This window comes from Homo sapiens, chromosome 4 (genome assembly GCF_000001405.40).
Source record: "Homo sapiens chromosome 4, GRCh38.p14 Primary Assembly".
NCBI classification, from domain to species: Eukaryota; Metazoa; Chordata; class Mammalia; order Primates; family Hominidae; genus Homo; species Homo sapiens.
Window position 1 is genome coordinate 16,576,913 of NC_000004.12, and position 17,436 is coordinate 16,594,348.

The 17,436-nt window shown below is 39.9% G+C and overlaps 1 protein-coding gene across 22 annotated transcripts in view, besides 1 other annotated feature; it reads right to left on the minus strand.

Moving 5' to 3' along the window:
- The window catches only part of LDB2 (LIM domain binding 2), a 397,105-nt gene that overhangs the window by 75,372 nt on the left and 304,297 nt on the right, over nt 1-17,436 (minus strand). For all 22 annotated transcript variants that reach the window (XM_017008813.3, XM_017008821.3, XM_005248197.5 and 19 more), the window contains 2 exons: nt 11,798-11,920; nt 9,010-9,093 (listed from right to left, as the gene is read on the minus strand). In XM_017008813.3, coding sequence (XP_016864302.1) covers nt 9,010-9,093; nt 11,798-11,920 — 207 coding nt within the window. The remainder of the gene's footprint in view (nt 1-9,009; nt 9,094-11,797; nt 11,921-17,436) is intronic.
- Nucleotides 13,717-14,486: an enhancer, noted in NCBI's record as "OCT4-NANOG hESC enhancer chr4:16592252-16593021 (GRCh37/hg19 assembly coordinates)". NCBI's record gives its function as "activates a minimal SCP1, AML or CMV promoter by ChIP-STARR-seq in naive H9 embryonic stem cells {active_cell/tissue: H9 hESC(naive)}" and the evidence as "EXISTENCE:reporter gene assay evidence [ECO:0000049][PMID:30033119]".

Consider the following 17,436-nt stretch of genomic DNA (forward strand, 5'->3'; position numbering starts at 1 on the left):
CAAGAATAGTTCAACGTATGCAAATCAATCAATATGATACATCATATCAACAGAATGAAGGACGAAAGCCATACGATCATTTCAATTGATGCTGAAAAAGCATTTGATAAAACTCAACATCTCTTTATAACAAAAACCCTAAAATACTGGGTATGGAGGAACATGCTTCCACATAATAAAATCCATACATGACAGACCTACAGCTGGTATCATACTGAATGGGGAAAAGTTTTAGTCTTTTCTTTAAGATATGGAACATGACAAGGATGCCCACTATTATCACTGTTATTCAACATAGTACGGGAAGTCCTAGCTAGAGTAATCAAACAAGAGAAAGAAATAAAGGGCATCCAAACTGGAAAGAAAAAAGTCAAATTATCCTTGTTTGTCAATAACATCTTATATTTGGAAAAACTTAAAGACTCCACCAAAAAACTATTAGAACTGATAAACAAATTCAGTAAAGTTGCGCAATACAAAATCAATATAAAAGTCAGTCCCACTTTTCTATGCCAACAGTGAACAAACTGAAAAGGAAACCAAGAAAGTAATCCCAATTACAATAGCTACAAATTAAATAAAATACCTAGGAATTAACCAAGTAAGTGAAAGATCTCTAAAATGAAAACTACAATGTATTGACGAAAGAAATTGAAGAGGATATACAAAAATGGAAAGATATTCCATTTTCACTGATTGAAAGAATCAATATTGTTACAATGTCCATACTACCCAAAGCAATCTATAGATTTAATGCAATCCCTATCAAAATACCAATGACATTCTTCACAAAAACACAGAAAACAATCCTAAAATTTATATGGAACCACAAAACACCCAGAATAGCCAAAGTTATCCTGAACAAAAGGAGCAAAACAGGAGGAATCACATTATCTGACTTACACTACAGAGATATAGTAACTAAAACAGCATGGTACTGTCATAAAAACAGAGACATAAACCAGTGGAACAGAATAGAGAACATACAAATAAATCCATAGTCTACAGTAAACTCATTTTCAAAAAAAGTTCCAAGAACATACATTCAGGAAAGTACAGCCTATTCAATACATAGTACTGGGAAAACTGGATATCCATATGCAGAAGAATGAAATTAGACCCCTATTTCTCACCATATACAAAAATCAAATAAAAATGGATTATAAAATTAAATTTAAGCTCTCAAACTATGAAACTACTAAAAGAAAACAATGGGGAAACTCTCCACGACTTTGGACTGAGCAAAGACTTCTTGACCAATACCCCACAGGCACCCCAAAAATGGACAAAAGAGGTCACATCAAGTTAAAAACTTTCTGCACAGCAAAGGAAACAATCAACAAAGTGAAGAGACAATCCACAGAGTGGGAGAAAATAGTTGCAAGCTACCCATTTGACAAGGAATTAATAACCATAATACACGAGAAGATCAAAAAACTCTACAGGAAAAGATCTGATAATCTGATTAAAAATAGGCAAAAGATCTTAATAGACATTTCACAAAAAGAGACATACAAATGGCAAACAGGTATATGAAAAGGTGCTCAACATCACTGATCATCAGAGAAATGCAAATCAAAACTATAATGAAATATCATCTCATCCCAGTCAAAATGGTTTTTAGCCAAAAGACAGTCAATAACAAATGCTGGTGAGGATGTGGAGAAAGGGAACTTTTGCACACTATAGGTAGGAATGTAAATTAGTGCAACCACTATGGAGAATAGTTTGGAGGTTCTTCAAAAAACTAAATATAGTATAATCCAGCAATCCAACTCCATTCCTAAGTACCCAAAAGAAAGGAAATCAGTATGTCAAAGAGATAGCTGCACTCCTGTGTTTATTGCAGCACTATTAACAATAGCCAAGATTTTGGAGCAACTTAACTGTCAACAGACAAATGAATAAAGAAAATATGGCACATATACACAATGGAGTACTATTCAGTCATATAAAAGATGAGATTCTGTCATTTACAACAAAATGGATGGAACTGAAGGTCATTATATTAAGTGAAATAAGCCAGGCACAGAAAGACAGATATTGCATGTTCTCATTTATCTGTGGGAGCTAAAAATTAAAACAAATGAACTGGAGATAGAGAGTGGGGATGGTCACCACAGATTGGGAAGGGTCAGGGTGGCGGAAAAGGAGGATGGTTAATTGGTGCCCAAACAGAGTTAGAAAGAATTTTAAAAATCTAGCACAACAGGGTGACTACAGTAAAAAAATAATTTAATTGTTCTTTTTAAAATAATTAAAAGAATATGGATTGTTTGAAACACAAAAGATAAATGCTTGAGGTGATGGATACCGTATTTACCTTGATGTGATTATGATGCATTACATGCCTGTATCAAAATACCTCATGTAACTTATAAATATATACACCTACTATGTACCCTGAAAATTTTAAAATTTTAACAAAACACAAAAGAAGCATTTGTAACCTAGCATTAAGAAAATGTGGCCAAAGGAAATAGAAAAAGATAATCATTCATTAAAAAATCTGTTTTCAATATTTAGAAGAACGCATTTCCAGTATAATGAAAATACCATAATGACATTTAGAGTAAGGATTAAATACTGATTTAGAGCAAGTAGAAGAAATAATATTAGAATAAAAATTTAACATCGGGAGCTCTGAGTATTTAAGTGGGAATCTGCACCCTAGAGAGATGTGAGGGCCTCATACCATGTTGCCTTTTATTTTCTCAATGCATTCAACTCTTTTGTTCCTCAGATTTCATGGTGAAGTTCTAGGTAGTGATTTTAGAAATGAATCACATGTTTTTTTCTAGATGCTGTAGGGCAAATGAATTCAACTGAGTTTTATTTGTGTGGTTCTTATTGTTGTCATTTGAAATTTTGCCTTCCATTTACCAAACCATCCATCTGCCAAGCATACACTCAAGAGATATCTACTGGGTACTTACGTGTCTTCACATTGCTCAGAGTCTAGTTCAGGAGACAAACGAGTGGGGAGACAATTCTTATATGGGACCTGCCAAGAGTTAATCCTGAGACTGTGCACAGAACTCCCAGAGCACTGGGGAGAGGCTCCTACCCCAGCTGAGAGTCAGAGAGATATTCTCACAGGAGTTGATAGATGAAGGAATCCTGAAGGATGAGGAGGATTTAGCCTGGGAAAATTGGATGATGAGAGAAGGGTAGCAACAGCGTTCCAGGCAGTGGCAGTGAGTCATGCTGTGCAAAGGCATGGAGGCAAGAGAGCATGACCAATTTGGATTAACTGTAGGTGGTTCGTGTGGTCCAGGATGGAGTACTAGCTGGGGAAGGGGCATGGAATGAGGCTGGGAGGCAGCAGAGGCAGGATCACAGAGGGCTTTGTGTACAAATGAAAGAAGGTGTGGTGAAGCAGAGCAATTGATTAATACACTGAAAAATTCAGGTCAAATTTAAGTAAACAAGTAAACAAGTCAAATTTAAGCCCCCTGCTGAGACTGAGAGGATCATGATATCCTTAGGAAAATTAGGAGAGGATAAAAATTCTGGAATGACCTGAAGTCCCCAGATGAGACTGACAATATGAACTGGAAGCAGACTTACTTGTAACAGTATCTTAAATTCCTTTAAAAAAGAGAATGTGCCTTAGGCATTCTTGTAAACATCCCACTCCATCCTTTTTGTGACTAAAATATAGTAAGTAGATGCCACCAAATTCTTGGTTAGCTAATTGATGTGAAATTTATGAATGAAAGCAGACTACCCCAAATCATCAGAGATGTAGACAACTGTATAAAGCAATGCCATTCCTACTGTTTCTTGCATTCTGTTCAGTGAATGCAAGGAATGCCTACTCTATTGTTACAGGAGATAAATGAACATGAAAATGGCACATTTTACTCAATGCCAGCCTGGAAGTTTGTGGCAGCTTGCTTTAAATGTGTAAGGATATGATTTCTGCATTGTCCACCCCTCTTTTCTTTATATTGTTGGAGATAAAATAGACATCAATTACTTCTCCAATTTTAAAATCTTATTCTTTAAAGCTATTTAAAGAAAACATGGTTGTTGCATACAGTAAACATTCACATGCAAGAATTTCATATTAGAAATTTGAAATGATGGCAATTTCAAACTGAGTTAGAAGAAGCTTTCATTTTGATGAAATGAAAGCGAAGAATTAAGGGAGAAGGATCAACTCCCGTGTGTTTTGACCCATGGAGTCCTTCTCATGAGCTCTGCATACAGGGGAATTCAATGAAAGATTCTGATGTGCTCTACCCAGAAAAGAGGACCAGAAGCATTTACAAAGGTACTTTGGTGAATGAGTAATGAAAGCTCTGCGTGCATTTATCCTACTAGAACCTAGCGAGAGAGATGGCGTAGCCCATTTCACAGATGAGAAAATGAAGGCTCAGAGAGGTCAAGCAACTTGCCCAGGGTCACACAGCTAGTAAGAAGATGATGTTCTCAGATACATACTGTTTAACTTACTCCCAAGCCCATGTCACAGTGAGAGGATGCTTGTCTTGACCATGCTGTTACTGGAAAAAAAAAATCTTTTGAATTATATCACTCAGCCAGGGTGTATTGTTTTGGCTCAAAACACCTACTTTTGTTGGTACCTAAAACAAACTTGAAACTTATATTTTAACTATGTGAAACTTCCTAGAGCTCCCCAAGTCACTAACACTCTCCATCCTTCTCTGACCCCTCTCACAGTGACCCTCTCTTTGGACTGTCCTCTGCCTTGTCTGCCTGATGATCACCTACTCAACTTTTAGAATCAATCCAAGGGCCATCTTCTCTATGAAGACTTTGCAGCCTCCTTCTCCTGTCTTCTAACAACCTCTCTGTCTTTTGTGCCTGGAATCAGATCATGGGTCCAGATCCCTGAACTGCCACTTACCAGTTCTGTGACCTTGGGAAGTTACTTCTCTGTGCCTCAGTTTTCTCTCCTGCAAAATAGGACTAAAAATAGTTCTTACCCCATATGGATGCTGTGAGTATTTAAAGAAAAAAAAAAGAAAGACGAAGGAAAGAAGAAAGAAAGAAAGAAAGGAAGGGAGGGAGGGAAATAAAAGAAAGAAGGAAGGAAGGAAGGGAAGGAAGGGAAGGAAGGGAAGGAAGGAAGGAAGGAAGGAAGGAAGGAAGGAAGGAAGGAAGGAAGGAAAAGAAAGTAAGTCCCTGCAAAGCATATAGCAGCAATGCCTGGCACATAGTAAGTGCCCCAGAAATGTTAGCTAGTGCTATGTTTCTCACTGCACCTGGGAGCAATTTCTCTCCAAGAGTGTATTTGTTTTTCTTTCTTACATTCTAGGCAGTGATCACCTTGAGGGCATAAACCTGGCACAAAGAAAGTGTGTCAGAAATGCTTGTGAAATGAACAATGAATAAATGGGCAAACAGGATCTGGTGGGAACTGACAAGGCTCCACAGCCAGGTCTCATTGACCCGGATGGCCCAATGCGCACTAAACTGCACTGCCTTCTCATGGTTGCTGAATTGGATCCCTTCATAAAATGCCAGGCGGACAACAGGACTTCTGCTTCCCAACAAACAAGGCAAAGGACACATTTCCGAGTTCCTGGCTTGCTTCTCCCATTCTAGTGCTCAAGTTCCAGCACCAGAGAGTGCTGCTTACTGAAAGGTGCCATCTCCCCATGTCATGGAACAGTTTTCCCCAGAACACTGAGGACATGCTTCGTGAAACCCACCACCCGGTATCGGAATACCCAACAGCAACAAAATAATGACTTCCCCATCCTGCAGGTCCCTTCCCAGCTCTGGCTTGGATAACTGCTGCAGGGACACTCAGTCAGCAAGCCACAGCCCCCTCTAGAGGTCACAGAGGCAGCCTGTAGAGGAAGTGAGACCGCACTGTGACAGGGCGCCATCTCTGCAGGCTCAGCGGCTTCCAGCCACAGCTCCACTGGGACCACCAAGTCAGCCATCATCGTACCTCTTAGCTCGGGGCACCTCTAACCTTGTCATGCTGGGATGCGACAGGAGGGAACGACAAGAGGGAACAGCAGGTGATTTGATAACCCAAATCAAATGACAATAGTTGTTCTTGTTGTTGCTTCAAAAGCACCAGGTCACCAGAGCCCCCTCCAAAGTGCTGCTGGCCAGCGTCTGTGTTCAGCCCCATCATCTGCATTCACAATGTCCACAGCTCGGCCATCCTCAGGGTCTCGCCTGCTCCTCCCTCCAACGGTGAGAGCTGCCTTCGGTCAGCTCTGTGTATTTCCTGACTGCAGGTCTCCGTGAGAATGATTAGAATTTCATTGGAATAAATGAACTTGTTTTGACGAAGCTAGATGGCTGTAATTGCCTACTTTCTGCTCTGCTTAATTTTGTTACGTTAGACACTGCATATTGAAATTTCAATGGCTGGAGCCTTTAAAATCTCTATCCATCCTTTCCAAAACAGGACGCATCAGTTTTTAAAGTTCTTCAACTGCATAGAAGGCTTTGGATTCATATTTACCAAAGTATCCATCTGACCTCTTTTTCTGATACTGGGAGTGGCATTGAAGCTTCTTGTTACCTTATTTGCACAATACTTCAGTTGACCTTCTGGGGCTTGAGACAAAGGCCAGGCTCCTCAGATGGACGTGGAGGCTTCAGATCTTAAGGCAACTTTATACATGAATGTATTTTGTGACTGCTCCGCTGTCTTAAAAAAATTAGATGATAAGGCTACTAGAAGAATCTTAAATCCCAGTTCTAAATGGAAGAAATGACCTTTGTCTGTCATTCTCAGTGACCTACCCCATATGGATAACCACACGGAAGCCCATGTTCACTGCTTTTGGGCAATGAGTTTGAGATCCGCTCAGCCATGACCTGTCAAGCGGCCCACGTCAGCCCGAAGGATTTGTGACTAGGAGGCATGGCTTCTACACTGAGCTGCTCCTTAAGACCTGAGGATCATTCCCTGGGCTATCTCTGGCTTTGCATCTCCCTCTATTTCAGCACGCTTCGCTGGAACCACAGCTGACCACATCCCACCAGCCTGTGACTACCAACTGAGGACAGAGGCCATTGCTCCACCATGAAGCCCAGCAACTGGAAAACTGCCAGGAGTAATGAGTGAGTGAAAAAGAATGGAACGAAGGCAGGGAAGGTAAATAGCTACTGAATCACGACGCACAAGTCAGGAAATAAAGTAGCATTAGACACCCCCAGAGTGAGAGTAGAGAGTCGGCGCTGTGTTTCTCTACGTGGCTCCAGCACATCAAACAATGATGGGTACACAGAAGGTCTCAATACATGATGAGACTGAACACAAATGAGGCACTTTCTGTCCCCAGGCCCTGTGCTAAGCCCTTTACATGGATTTTCTGACCCAGTCCTGGAACTAAACCCTACAAGGAGCTGATATTATTTTTGGCAAAGTGAATGAAGGCTTACTGATAGATGCTGACTGTCTAGCAAAGGCAAGAAAGATATGACCCAATTCCTATCCATATCATCAGTCTCCCGTGCTCACTAGCAAGAGAGCAGCATTCTGCAGTGAAGCGCATGGATTCTTGGGTCAGGCTGCCTGAGTTCAAGTCCCAGTTCTGCCACTTGTGTGTAAAGCTGGGCAACTTACTCCACCTACTGAAACCCTCGGTGCCTCACTTTGCTACAGGGATGGTAATGGGGCACAGGGTCCATTATGAGACTACTTCAGTCACAAGATACATGGCAAAGAACCTGACATGCAGCAAGCACGGTGTTCGTGTGGTAACCTCGAAACACTACTCCCTACTGCCCAAACCCATACATGATTTCCTTGCTATCATTGTCAGGAGACGGGTAGTGCCTTCTTTCCCTTTTACAGGTCTGACCTCAGTCTTCATGGGCCACAGGATGTGGGGTACCTGGTGGGCCTTGACCACAAGGTGAAAGTCAACCATTTACAGATGACAATAAGAGGAGTGGGGAGAAGCAGGAAGGAAATTTGATGTTTATTAATCTGTGTTAAATGCAGCTAAAAGATGTAACTAAGAATCTGTCCAAGATCTTGCTATAGGGTGAGTGACCAAGTCTAGGATAGACTTCAAAGTCCCAGCTTCCTATGTGGGGTCAGCTGAGGACACACAGTGTGGGACTTCTTTATCTGCAGGAGGAAGAGCATCTTCCCTGTTTTAAGCGAAAACTCTCCTGTTCCCTGACAAGACGATATGCCCAGCAGTACAGAGCAGCCTTCTGGATTGTGGAGAGAACAACTTCATAGACCATCACGCCCCAGGCCACCCACCCGCACTATGTCAGTTGCTCCGCAAGAGAGCCATTCTGACTGCGGAGACCAGAGGTTTGTGAAGATGTAGCCCCAGCTACCCTGGCTGGGAGCACCCGCCGTCCACCCACACTCCTGGGCTGACTTTGGTTTCCCTCTGAGCAGAGACCAGTGGGCTCTTTAGTGGTTCAGGGCCACCACAATGGCAGGGGTGTTAGGATGGGCGGGTGGGGAGCACAGCTGATTCTGCCTCTTGTCAGGCCTGGATTTGGCTCTGGGGAATCTAAGCTGTAGAGAGGAAGAATCTCCTTCTTTTACCCACCACCAAATCTGTTACATGTTGTGCAGAGAGTGCTTATGAAGCCTTAGAAATATCTGTGTTTCAGCACGGGATTGGATTTCTTCAGGAGACTCTATGGGGCAGTATATTGATTCTCCTAAGGGGTGACCAGTGCCTGGGTGGAGGCACTGGGGTAATGAACTCACCAATAACCCATTTGAACTTGAGACAACCACAAGGGAAGCAGCCACAAAGCATTTTGCAACAATGGGACATTGCTAGCCTTTGAATAATTAATTCCAAGAGACATACAGATATAGGACTCAACCCTGACAAATTCCAGGTTTGATGCTTTGTTAATTAAACCCTGTCCTCCATTGAAAACACACACACACACACATACATCTGGTACAGAACATAGACACTGCTATATCACCAGTACCTCATTTTAACTTCTTGGTTCAGGATGCATATAAACCTCTGGAGTACTTTTCAAACTCACCAAAAAATAAAATCATTCGATTGATCTTACCCTGAGGTAGTTGAGGGTGAAGTTTGTTAGCCCCATCCTGGTGATGTTTTTGGACAGCTGATCCAGGACCTGAGGATCTTGTGCCTAAATGGAAAAAAAACCCCACATGTATTTTATCACTACAGGACGGTCCTGAGAAAATCTCAGACTGTGCTACAGCTGCTAAGAAATGCAATCTCGACATTGTTGATTTTATTTGGAGGGCAGGCTGCTGGAGGTAATTTAATTTACATTTTGAAGACACTTGCATATAACACTCAAGGACATTTTCAGATCAATTGTGCAAGACTGGGGAAAAACCAAACTGCTCAGATGTGCTTTCAGTCCTTGGGAGAAATGATGTTACTTCCTCTTGGAGAGGCCTTGGCACTCGGGTCTCCAGCCTGAGTCACAGAACTCTGCCAGGAGAGCTCCAGGTCTAACGCCCTCATTAGAGAAGCCAGTCCCCCTGGACTGGGCAGATCCATGCTTCAGGACTGGCCTTTGTTTCCTGCTGTGATAGCGGTGGTGTTTTTACAGCTTGGGGTTGAGGGCTGTATTGGAAAACTTTGCCACTGTCTTGAAATACACACACACACACACACACACACACACACACACACACAAAACACACACACACACACACACACATATATATGGAGAGACAGAATTCTCACTCTCCTCCCCATTAAGCTGAGTCTGGAAATAGATATCCCCAACAATTTTTATCCTGCAGGACTGTAAGAGTAAGTATCACATTTTCCAAAATGTCAGCCACATTTTAAGAAGGGATATAAAGTACCATGGGCCACACCAAATGTTCTGTTTGGCTAGAAGAAAATGGAAATTCTTTCTGGGATCCATTTTAAAATGACTCTCTTGGTTGATATTCTTTCTTTCTGTTTGCCTTTCCTTCTTCCTTAATTGATATAAGCAAATTGGCACTAAACAGAGGGAGATGGATGTAAACATCCCCTTGTCTCCACGTCTGCCTTCATGAGACTAGATTATACTAATGTGACTTATTCTTTTCTGTACATGCCTTTTCTCATAGTGATACTACCAATTGGATTTGTATATATAAATAAAAAATGCAGGAGAAAACAGAGCATGTCAGTTTCATGTCAATTTCCTAAAAGAGGTCTTCCCTGACATTGAGCCTATATTTATTAAACCACTCTTATGTGCTAGGAAGCGTTTGTTCTATCAAGTAGCCAGGGTCAACCTCAAGGAACTTACATTTCAGTCAAAAGACAGGAAAGATAATAATAAAGAAATGCAAAAATGTTGTTCCTGCTGCTGTGGCTACCGGTGATGATGATGAGAGCCAATCGCCAAAACCTGTAGAGGACACACTATGTGCCAGGCATTGTTCTAAGTGCTTTACAGTCATTAACTCTTAATTCGATGGTCTGAAACATGCTTTATTACTGTACCCATCTTATAGATGAGGGACTACAAGCACAGAGATGTCACATCATTTGCCCAAAGTCACACAAGAGCAAGGGTCCAACCCTATGTGGTCTCAATCCAGGGCCCAGGTTCCCAACTGTTATCCTTTGCTGCCTTTTAGTCTATTTTGAGAATAATAGAAGTGAATATTCCAGACTTCCTCAAAGAGAGTGGAGAATGTAAACTAAGCTTTAAAAACCAAGGGCTTGGAGCATAAACAGCCAGAAATCATGGAGCAGGAGAGTGGGGGTGCAACAAAAAGCATAAGGCTAATGGGAAGGGCAGAGCTTGTGTTAACTAGTCAGAAAGAGGTGGCTGACAACTAATGCGTGGAGAAATAGCCAGGAGTGGGACAGCTGGGAGACAAAGTCAGAACCACCTCGGGCAAAATCTTGATTTTGCTACTTTTGGGCTAAAAAACATGGGGCAACTTACTGATTCTCTGAACATCAGTTTCCTTGCTTTTAAAACAGGAACAATACTAACTCAACTCTCTGCCTGACTGTGAGGATTCAATATCATGAGATATACAAAATGTTTAGCTCAAGGCCTGGCAGAGTAAAAAAAAATCAGTAAATGGTAGTTACTGTTATGCTATTTTCTTTTGATTGTTCAGGGTCTTTAAAATTAGGCTTATGAAGTTTGATTTTGCTCCAAAGATTTTCATGGAAGCATCATGTATTATAGAGGAGAGACTTAAATTTAAGTTGATGCCTTTGACGACTTCTTAAGAGATTACAGCTGACTAGCTCCTACTTACATTTAAAATACATCTCTAGATCGGCATAGAACCCACCCTTGCACCTAATTTGTGCTCAATAAATTTGATGTGATTTATGGTCAAACAAAACCAAGAGAAGCCCAAATATTCCACTTCAGATTTAGCACTGTGATCAGGGAGGACCAACTTCTGACACAAATCTGAAGATAGAGGAGTCCCATGTCTCGTCAGATGGTTCTAATCAAAACTGGAAACTGTTTTTCTAACTTCTTGTTTTATTTCATTCCCCAGTTATACATAACAGGTTTATTAGCCCCAAGCAGAGCAGTACTTGATAATGACTGGATGGAATTTAAGAAAAGTACAAACTGTTTATTGAAGTAACCTCAATTTGGAGTTCAAAATAATAAAATATAAAAAATAGTCTCACAATGTACCAATCTTGGAAACAAAAAGGGGAGAAAAGGGCCTGTGGATTAAAACCGTTGAGAACAAAACTCAATATTTAGAGTTAATTACCTAAAGCGTGACAACTACTGGAATTCTTTCACAGAGAGAGGACTGGGTTTTTCCCCTTGAGTGAAATGAAGGAGGAAAAAAAAGAAAAGAAAGCAAAACAGAAATTAAATTACTTACATGCATGGCTAGGATGCTTCTCGGGACTAACTCTCGGTATTGTCTAATGGTAAAGTGCCATGTTTTGATTCTCATGAGATCATCAAAGGTGAACTCCAAGATCAGTCTGCCTTCTGTACATACCTGGAAGTGACAAACCACACAGTCATTCATTACGCACTTTGTGAAAGCCACATTTTGTAACTCACATAGCCACTCAGCGTGGTCTCCCTTTCTGTCCTTGGGCAGTGCTAGCTCTTGGTAAAGATGTGACACGAGTGATGTGTCCACTGCACACGGTACAAATGTCAGCTCTAAAATCAGTGGGTTCAAGTGACTGTACAGCTGCTTATTGGCCATGATGTGCTAGTAATTCTACTAGTTACTACTGAAACTCTATGACCCTCAGTTTCTTCATCTGTAAATATGGAGATAAAACCCATCTTATAGTGACATTGGGTCAAAAAGTTTTCCTCCACTTTCATCATCCTTCAACCATAGAGGCTTGAGCTCTTATTCTAATCTTGGTTATCCTGCTCTAGGACAAAGTACCCAATAAACTCATTCATGGTTAAGTGTGAGTTACTACAACTTGATCTGACTGGAGGAAGTTTTTATTTCCAAAACGAAATTCCGGAGGGCAATGTTTAACCCAAGGCAGTTATTATCAGTTACTGACATGTAGAAAATAGAAGCATGGTGGAGAGTATTTTCCTTGAATCTCAGCACATCAGCAATGATAAATTCTGCTTGCATAAAAGGCCAGTCTTAGGGGGATGGGACACTTTATCTTTCTAAGAATAATATATATTATTAATGAAACATAATAGAATTTTGAAGGTCTCTTCCTTGATAGAGTAATCAGTGACAGAGTAGCATTTTAATCTTTTTTTGATATTCATAGCATTTTTAGCATGTAGTTCCTATTTTATTTACCATTCCTTTCACTATTAACAACTTTGAAATGAAGGAAAGTGCTATGCAATCACGAACCGCTGAGCCTATTTCAACTATGAGCTAGGAAGTGGTGGTAGTGTATTGGTTCAATTTAAATAGTTACAACTCATTAATCAGACGATTTCTGCCTTAGGAAAGCAGTACAAAATAGCGGGCGGATACTTTGGCATCAGAGGGTACTGGATTTGAATCCCAATTCTACTTTTTACTCATTCTGGAAATTTGGGGAAAATCTAATAAATTCCCCAAATTCCAGTTTTTCTCACTGTAAAATGGAAATAGAAATATCCTTGGGTAAGAATGTTAGGAAAATTCATTAAATAAAGTTATGTACGTAGGCTACCTGGAATTGTGCCTGGCATGTAGTAGGATAGCAGTAAATGATAGCGCTACAGATAAAAAGAATGCTACCCAAGAAAACACAAAGCGCTAGACCAGTAATGGTCATCATGTGCCACCTGAGACCTAGGGCTTCACTAGCGGCGGCTTCTCAGGGGCTCTGCTGGGAGGAGCTGGGCCTCCATCTCGGCTTTGAGATCCTCATTGACTTTCTGGATTTCACTAAGCAGCTTTGATTTTTGTCTGTTTTTTACTGCATTGGGCTTCCGATCAAGCTTTTTGGAGAAAGATTTCCTAGGCTAAAAACAAACATACAACACTCCAGACACTTGAAAAAACACACTCAAAAACAAATAAATGAATAAGTAAAAATTAATTAACTGAAGAGAGAATGTAAGTATTTGTAAAACTATAGTCCACGAAGTTAGTGAACAATTTATATCAGCCTTTTACGAAATATTAATAATCACTTTCCTCTTTGGAAATGTAACACAAAACACCACCACTTACTGAATTGCAACTTGGTCCACAGCACTGGGTTGGGTGCATTCCATGCGCTCTAACTGAAGGTAACATGTTCTTTAAGCAAGTCAAATGCCAGTACAGGAGAATTACTAACAAGTGTTGATGGGACACTACTCGAGAAAGATGCTGTTAACGTGTGCCATCTTCGTCTTATCAAAGATTTCAGAAACACTGTGGGATAATTATTGATAATCTGGGTGAAGACCTTTGCCTCAGATCCAATTAGCAGGACCTGTGGGTAATTTCAGGCATGTGGGCACATTGCCTCAAAACCCCTTGGCTGTGTAGTCTTCAGTGCCTTGTTTCTGGTGTCTCAGCCATGAGAGTTGAGCGCATAGAAAAGGGAGAAGACTTCAGTTCCCCCAAACCTCTCCCCTTGAGCATCATCAACTTTGGAATTAATTTACGAAGACATTAAAAAGAGTTGCATGGAGATTAAGCCACACAATTCCCCCTGGGGTGTCGGCATGACAGAAGCCACCTGTGGTGACAGCTTTCACAAAAGAGAGGTAGCTATGGGGAGCCATCAACAGTGAAGTGTCTTGACAAAAACACGACAGGGATTTTGGATGCTATAATCCTTTTTAAAGGGGGAGATTATTGGATATTTAAACAAATATTAGCTTAGTTAAATGTCAGTGTTTAAAAAATTATCTAATATATTTGTTTTGCATTTATGAACCACAAACGCAGGGCAGGTGAAGGGTCTGGTTTACTTCTATTGGGAGAGAATTTCATAATGAGAAGGCATGTATGTAGTCCTCTGACAGATTACTCAGTTGGAGCATCTGTAAGGTCAACTTAAATTGTGTCCTTTGTTCACGGTAACAGAGCGAGCTAGTTGGGGACCTTTCTTGCAGTCAAATTGTCATGGGCCTACAAATGGAAAATTGCAGCAGGCCTTGGGCTCCTCCTAGTTTCAGTCAAAACCAAGGGTTTAACTGGGGTATACCATGTGCAAGGCAGGAATCCTTAGAATCAAATCTGAGTTGACTACGCTGGATGTTTTCTTTAAGGAAAAATAAATGACTTATTTGAATGAAAGGACAGAGGAGGATTTTGGTCACTGCTGGTCTTCCCCAAGTAATTACACCCACAGCTTCCAGGCCCTAGACAGCCACTCCACACCCTGTACCCAGCATAGAAATTAAAGGAAACCAAAGGCTTTGTGATTTGTTTTACATGCAACAGCCAGCAAATGGAATGGAGGCAAATAAGAAAAAATATATATGTATTTCCTATTCAGAAATGGTAAAAAAACAGGCATAGCCTATAAAAGGGAATTAACATCTTCTCTCTTCAGAAAAATTCTGTGCATTCCTCTTAATCAATACAATTAATGTAGCTTTTATCTGAAGTCGGCCTTTTTTTTTTTTAAAGCTGCCTTTCACTTGGAATCCAAAATCAAAAGGGTCCCCAATTAAGAAAACATTTTCTGTTGTGCTGAATTCATGTTACCGTACTGTGAGCTCTGACATTTTGTTTCTGTGGTAACCAAAATCAGCTGATTAGTTGGCATGGCAACAGAAAAGATGTAATCCCAGCAGACACACTCTAATCAATGCCCCCAGTACAGATGGTCTCCGGAGGATCAACAAGAAAGAGGCTGGCAGGCATTCAGCCGATCACGTGCTAGCTTGAGACTAGGCCAGGAACAAGAAAACTAAAAAAGAACATTTCTCAAACTAACCAGTAGCTTTTTAACCCTTTTCTTTCTTTGGCTAATTGTAACGCAATATTGACTGTGTATATAGCTGCATAATACAATGATTCTCATATAGCTTCGATGAAATCAAGTGTGCTTGTTAAGTGGGAGTGTTTATGTAATTTTCTGAGTTTGTATGCTTGGAACAGCATGCATGGAGTAGTGCTTTTAGATTAACACTTGTGCAAAGCTCATTGTATTTTCCTTAGTGGTACTGCATATGTAAACGCATTCATATGCATTATACATACATATATATATATATATATATATATATATATATATATATATACACACACACACACACAAACACACACATGATCTGATCATTGATATTATAATTTGGTTAGAGTCAGGAGAAGAGAAGAAATTCTGAAATATAATGTAGTATACAGGCTAAGGTAAGAAGGATGAACTGTCAAAGACATAAGTGAGTATTCATATAGGAAAACTGGTGGGTGCATTTCCATGGTACTTCTCTGTAGCAGTAAAAAAATTCATAGTAAACAATTGAGAACAGAGAAAACATAAACCAATCTTTATAGAGATGATAAGGGTGGCCAATAATGGCCATAACTTTGTTTCAGTGTGTAAAATCTAAAATTAACCCCAAGAATGTACCCTAGAAAGTGTTCCTCCCAGAATCCACCAGTGTTCACATCCTCAAATATAAATATTACTCAGAGTCTTTAATTCTGAAAACCTTGATGTCTGCTCTTCTGATTATTAAACCTTGTTTTCTATTTGATTAAAAAACTGAAAACATAAAAGAAAGGCTTTATAATGTGTGTTTTAAAATTCTAATTACACATTTATCCATAATCAATAATGTTCCTGGTATCAGGAAATTGCAATAATGCTCATGATACTCCTGAGGAATAGTTAATATTTCTGTTGATTAGGATTGCGACTGATTTTTGATTCACCAGTTGACCAAATTTTCATAAAAGCAACTCAGAACCACTGGGTCAAATGCTATTTGGGGAATGAGAGTTTATTGATAGCCTAAATTAGAACACTGCGATGCTGCCTGCACATAATATGCTAAGTACTAATAGCAGGCTTCCCTTTAAAAATAAGCATTGGCTTCTGGACCCTTTTTCTTTGTAAAAAGGTCTGAAAGGTCATTAGCCCACTGTTTTGTAGTAAACAGCCATGATATTTTATTACATGTAAATGAGTTATTTTTAATTAATATAAGAAAAACAACATTGGAAAGTTTTTTGAGTATTATAATAATCACCAAGGAGCAAAAAAACAAAAAACAAAAAATTGAGAGAGGAAAAAAAGAAAAAAAAAATGGATCCTTTCAAATTTCCTAAAAATAAATGTGCATAATTAGCATCTGGACTAAGTCCATGAAACTGAGCTCCATTTCCCAGAAAGTGATATTTTTCATCACGGTATGGAAATATTCATTTCAAGAGTCGGCAAATATACTTCCTTGGAGTCGCATCAGATGGGTGGTCCAAACAATTGCTGCTTGGGGCAAGGGAGCTCGGTTCAGGGGAGTGCTCAGGTGTTTCTGGTGACCACCTTAGATACCTGAACAAATCACTCAACCATCTGAGAGGAAAATTTCAGGATAAGAAAGAATGCAACACAGGAAAACCTTAGTTTCTGGATTTGAATGAAAATAACACTTTATCGATTCATCTGAAGAATGGGATTCTTTTCGATCTAAAACAAGTCCCAAATGTTCAGCACTAAACTTTCAGAGCAGCTATGTTCATTTATGAATCAGTTTTGGCCTGAGAAAGAAATTGAGTAAATATATAAAAGGACTACTACAAAATACATTTTTATTTTCAATGGCTACTGGCTTTGGAAGCAGCTCCTTAATTACAGCAAAGTTTTTAATTTAATTATCATGGATTTTTTTTTTCCCCTTACAGCATAAGGAGTTGGTATGTTTCTCTTGAATTACCTAAAAATAACATTAAGCCTAGAGGAAAAAAGAAAAAAAAAACCAATAATGAAGGAGCAGAGAAAGGCTTTCTCTGCAGTGCTAAGACTTTGTAACACTAGAAATGAATGGCTTGCAAAATGAATGGCTTACATGTCCGTCTGATCTACAAGATTATGTAAATGTTCTGCATCTCCAGAATGAAGTGAGACATGGGCAGATTAAACC